At 50.5% G+C, this 5026-nt stretch overlaps 1 pseudogene, besides 3 other annotated features; it reads left to right on the forward strand.

The window, feature by feature from the left end:
- Window positions 2312–3122: an enhancer, noted in NCBI's record as "H3K4me1 hESC enhancer chr1:147825653-147826463 (GRCh37/hg19 assembly coordinates)". NCBI's record gives its function as "activates a minimal SCP1, AML or CMV promoter by ChIP-STARR-seq in primed H9 embryonic stem cells {active_cell/tissue: H9 hESC(primed)}" and the evidence as "EXISTENCE:reporter gene assay evidence [ECO:0000049][PMID:30033119]".
- TRQ-CTG9-1 (tRNA-Gln (anticodon CTG) 9-1) lies at window positions 2348–2419 on the forward strand (annotated as a pseudogene).
- Window positions 2444–2543: a silencer, noted in NCBI's record as "silent region_1285". NCBI's record gives its function as "represses an Ori minimal core promoter by ATAC-STARR-seq in GM12878 lymphoblastoid cells {active_cell/tissue: GM12878}" and the evidence as "EXISTENCE:reporter gene assay evidence [ECO:0000049][PMID:35858748]".
- Window positions 3123–3932: an enhancer, noted in NCBI's record as "H3K4me1 hESC enhancer chr1:147826464-147827273 (GRCh37/hg19 assembly coordinates)". NCBI's record gives its function as "activates a minimal SCP1, AML or CMV promoter by ChIP-STARR-seq in primed H9 embryonic stem cells {active_cell/tissue: H9 hESC(primed)}" and the evidence as "EXISTENCE:reporter gene assay evidence [ECO:0000049][PMID:30033119]".

Consider the following 5026-nt stretch of genomic DNA (forward strand, 5'->3'; position numbering starts at 1 on the left):
GAGATATTGAATCTTGCCTTTGGGTAAGTTTGGGCATCCACATGAATGAGCTGGGGCACCCAACACCAGATTACACCAGGCCACGACCTTCCCTGCTGCCCCTTGCCTGCTTCAGAGGCTGCCCCGCTGCAGGTGGGGGCCTCAGCCCCAGGTCTGATGTTGTCCATTTGCTTTCTCACTGGGCTTCTTTCCTTGCACTGACTTCCACTCCCCAGGACTCAGTGAGTGGCCACATGGGAAAGACACAAACTGGCCATGCCCCTTTCTCTCTGACACCTCTTGATGCCTGCAGAGGTGAGCTCCAGACCCACTCCATGAGTAGTGACTTGAGACTTGCTCACAATGATGTCCCTGTCCAAGAGCAGGGACTGGCACTTAATAGCCACACATGAAAGCTCAGTGAAAGAAGGCATCCACCACAAGGTCCTGGAGGAAAAAGAATTCCACTATGGTCCATAACGTTTTAGTCCCAAAAGATCCCAGATTAGGAGATGTGAAAGGCTTTTGAAAGTGGCCATTCTTTTAAAGCATTATGCTGGCAGCTGCACTATGTTTCCCCATCCTGGACATGTCTGGAGGGCACTGTCTACAGCCATACCCACCTCCCCACCCAGGACAGTGCAGCAGCTTTAATTTGGGGGATGCCAGTGGGCAAGGAAGGGGTGAACCATGAAAGCTGAACAGGAGAAAGCAGGTGGAAGAGGGGCAACAGGGTGGAAATAGAGAAAATAAAGGTGGGTAGAGAATGGGGGGACTCAGGGGGAGAGAGAGAGAGAGGGAGAGAGAGATCTAGCCACTAAGGAAGGAAAAAGTCCAGAAGAGAACACTTGTCTGCTTCAGTAAAATAATTTACACCTAACCAGGTGCAAGGGCACTGCAGGTCGTGGGTGGCATGCCCTGGTCATGCTGTGATGTTTAGGGGCCATGACATCTACCCTTTGAATCCAAATCATCAAATAGAGAGGGAACTCTGTCCCTATCTAGCTGGCAATGCCTTGCGATTTTACCTTTTAGATCTGGCAGCTCTCCACATCTGCTCACTTTGTGGGAGGCAGCTCTTGACGCACCAAATCAGGATGATTCAAAAATCAGAGCCTTGGAGACTTCACTGGAAGGCTTGGACAGTGGGAGGTGGTGGCATCCGGAGGGTGGAGTCCAAGAGGTAGCAGCGCTGAGGCTCCACACACCCTCAGGAGGATGGTAAGGGGCAATCTCTTGGTGAGCACCTAACTTCCCCAGGAACCTCTGCCTAGGTGGAAATGGGCCCCACGCCTAGCTTTTCTCTGGACAGGCCCTAGCCAGGGATCCAGGGTACCAGTTGAGTCCTAGGCAATGCAAATGCCTGTGTGCTGACCTTGTGGTGACTGGAAGGAAGCACCATGATCCTTCCACTTGGAACTGGACTTGCAAAGACGATGGCTCCTACTGCTTTCAATTTCCTTGGACTTTCGCAATCAGATTTAGCCTTTTGGAATGTGAACATGACTCTTCTGGGTCACCCCAGGTATGGGGTGGCCTTGGATCTGCTGGTCCTCCCCAGGCCTCAAGGACTGGCTGATATTCATCATCTCGGTTGGTGTCACCGCACTCACAATCCCCAGCAAAGATCCCCCAAAGTGTCCTGACTAGAAACATATTCCTCAACTTCCTCTCAGCTCGTGGTAGCCATTCTTCTGTTAGTGTAGGCTGCGTGTGGGAGGCTGGTGGTGGGTAGGGTGGGAGCCTAGAGAAGGAAGAGGAACGGTAGCCAAAAAGGAGCAGAGAAGGAGGAGGAGGCAGGAAGTATAGAAAGCTGGAGGGAGCTGGGGAAAATGGGTGTGGGGGTAGTGTGAGGAAGACAGGGAGCAGGAGAGAGAGGGGACTGGAAACAGAAGGAGAGGAGGAGGAGAAAGAGGAGGAGAAGAAGGCAGAATAAGAAGAGCAGAAATTCCAGCATATCCCAAATCTTGTTCCAGAAATGGTTATCAGTGCCCCATGGATAAAGGGAAAAGGAAATTTGCAAAGAAAAAGAAAGAAACCCCAGCGGGTAGAGGGTCTCGGCAGAATGTTTATTTCAGAGCAGGAAACTCTGGCAACCCAGGCAGAACTGTTGGCTTTAGTGGAGGCCTAAATATAGCTCTTCTCTGTTCCTAATCCTGAAAGGTGCTTAATCTCATTCTCTGAGATAGAAACCTAAAGAGAAGGGCAGAGAGAGGTAAGTCTGGGGCGACTCCTCCTATTGTAGATTAAAGGTACTCAAGTCCTGTGTGACAAAGAGAAAAAAATACCTGAAAAGGAAATTCTGGTGACTATGGAGGCTGAGAATTCACTTGTCAAATGCTCATAACTGAGAGTATTCTCAACAGCTGGTTCCATGGGTTAATGGTGAGCACCCTGGACTCTGAATCAAGCGATCCGAGTTCAAATCTCGGTGGTACCTTGGTGTCTGCTGGCCTTTTACTCTGGAGCCAGAAGCCACTTTGGGAAGCAAACTCCACCCTCAAAGACAGAGTGAAAGGGATGTGGTTTACATTTGCCCTTCGTACCAAGTCCTGGGTTAAAGAAGAGAAAGGAAGGTTTGGGTCCCGGGGAAGGAAGCTCTGCTGCTGCAAATCCCCTAGTCCCTCCTGCTCCGGCCTCGCAATGCGTCCCCTGCAATGTCCCTCCTCCTCTCCCGTGTCCCTCCTGCTCCGGCCTCGCAATGCGTCCCCTACGATGTCCCTCCTCCTCTCCCTTTTCCTCCTCAGTGGTCTGGGTCCCAGAAACCGGCTTCTTGCAGTGGCCTGCTCCACAGGGAAATTGCCCAAACATCCCATCGGAGTCACCAATCCTGGTCCCAGTCCTGGGCGAGCCTCCCGGCCCCCTGCAATCGGAGGCCCGGACCCCGCAGCCAGCGTCCCAGCAACCGAACAAGTCCCCATCCCCTCTCAGGGCGACCCTGGGCCTCGGGGTGATAGGTTTCCTACACTAAAAGGGCTGCGGCCCCTCAGTGCTAGACCCCGAGATTCCTTTCACTCGGGAAATCTCGTAATCGCATCCATTGTCTTTTTGGTAAGTAAACGGTGACGTGAGAAATTTTGATGGGGTTAGCTCAGTCATTGGTGATTATGTCTCAGTTTAGGGTAGATGGTTTGAGACCTAACTTAGAAGTAACACTGTTTTATTCGGATGGCCCATCCTCTTCCGAATGTTAATTTACTCTGTTCTTCATATTCAGATTTCCATGCCTAATTTCTAGCTCCTACGTCTCTATTGCGGGACCTAAAAGTCGCTGTTTCACTAAGCTTTGGAACCCGACTCCAGGAAATCTCATTCTTTCGTCCCAAAATTTCAACCGTAAAGAGAAATCCGCGCGGCGGCCTCTTCAAGCGCCCGGGCCGGGAGCGCGGGTTCTGACCTTCGGTCGCCGGGCCGGTCTCCCGCAGCACCACGGGTAAGAGGAGCCTGAGCAGCTCGGAGGGATGAGTGCGGGACGGTGGGGGCTCCCCCTCTTCCTGCCAGTACCTTGCCCCAAGGAGAAGATGCCTTAGGACGCGACAGATGAAAAATCTTTTCTTCTGCTTGGCGGAACACTTTGGATGCGGCTTATGGTGGGTCTTGAGAGCAAGCTAAGATGTCCCGCCAGACGCTCAGGACCATCGCTCTGATTTTCATATTTTGCAAATATGAAAATTTTCAGCGGTTACGAAGGACTGAAAAACACCGCAGTCTTTGAGGGGCTCAGTTTGGAGGGCGTGCGGAGGTGTGGGGTGGGAGACGGGAGAGAGGTGCCTTGTTGGCTCCTTGGAGTGGACTGATAGGAAGGAAAACACACAAATTCCATTTCCCCTTGCAGGCTGGACTGCAGGGCCTAGGATGGAAAACTGGGCAGTCAAAGAGCAACAATATGTAGAGGTTGACTGCATGCATTGAAAATTGTTATCCCTCACACCTGTAATCCCGCATTTTGGGAGGCCGAGGCAGTCGGATCACGAGGTCGGGAGATGATCATCTTGGCCAACATGGTGAAACCCCGTCTCTACTAAAATACAAAAATTAGCCGGGCGTCTTGGCGCGTGCCTGTAATCCCAGCTACTCGGGAGGCTGAGACAAGGCAATCGTTTGAACCTGGGAGGCGGAGGTTGCAGTGAGCTGAAGCTGAGATGGCGCCACTGCACTCCAGCCTGGCGACAGAACAAGACTCCGTCGCAAAAAAAAAAAGAAAAGAAAAGAAAGAAGGAAAAAAGGAAGGAAGGAAGAAGGAAGGAAGGAAGAAAACAAAATTGTTATCCCTAGAAAAAAGTGTAGGGGGGACCAGAACACTGCTGTTGTTGCTGTTCACCACCAGCTTTAGAGCATATGTAACTGGTAACTGTACAGTGCATCAAAAATCCTTCCTGTTTACAACCAATTATCACAACTAGCTACAGATTTCTTTGTTCCTTCTCCACTCCCACTGCTTCACTTGACTAAACTTAAAGGAAAAAAAATTGTTTTTACATATGATATTGTTTAAATTGATCCTCAGCCCGTCCTCCTCAAGTAGCTGGGACCACAGGTGTACAACACGGTGCCTAGCTAATTTTGTAGAGACAGGGGTTTTGCCATGTTGGCCAGGCTGGTCTCGAACTCCTGGACTCAAGTGATCTGCCTGCCTGGGCCTCCCAAATTGCTGGGATTACGTGCTGGCCTCCATGCCCAGCCATCATTTGTATTTTGAATTTAAATATTTTATAGTCATAAGTATCACTCTTCAAAGATTCTGAGTTTTGTAGCATGTATATGGTGAGGTTCAGGACACACTACTCCAAAATATAACACCTTGGGGTATTGAATATTTTATGCTAAAGGAATTTGAGAAAACAACAAAAGCAGGAAGGTCACTGTCACCCTCCCCCTGCCCTTCTTCCCCAAAGCAGATCATAAGGCTCTCATGTGAGAGGTGCTCTCTCTGTACCCAGAGGAAAGATGCATTGCTGTGTCTGAAGACACAGCGACACAGAGTCTGAGCACACAGGCCTGGCTACATTTCCCCCAGTTTATTACCATTAGATCATACTCCTTTCAT

Source organism: Homo sapiens, chromosome 1, assembly GCF_000001405.40.
Source record: "Homo sapiens chromosome 1, GRCh38.p14 Primary Assembly".
NCBI classification, from domain to species: Eukaryota; Metazoa; Chordata; class Mammalia; order Primates; family Hominidae; genus Homo; species Homo sapiens.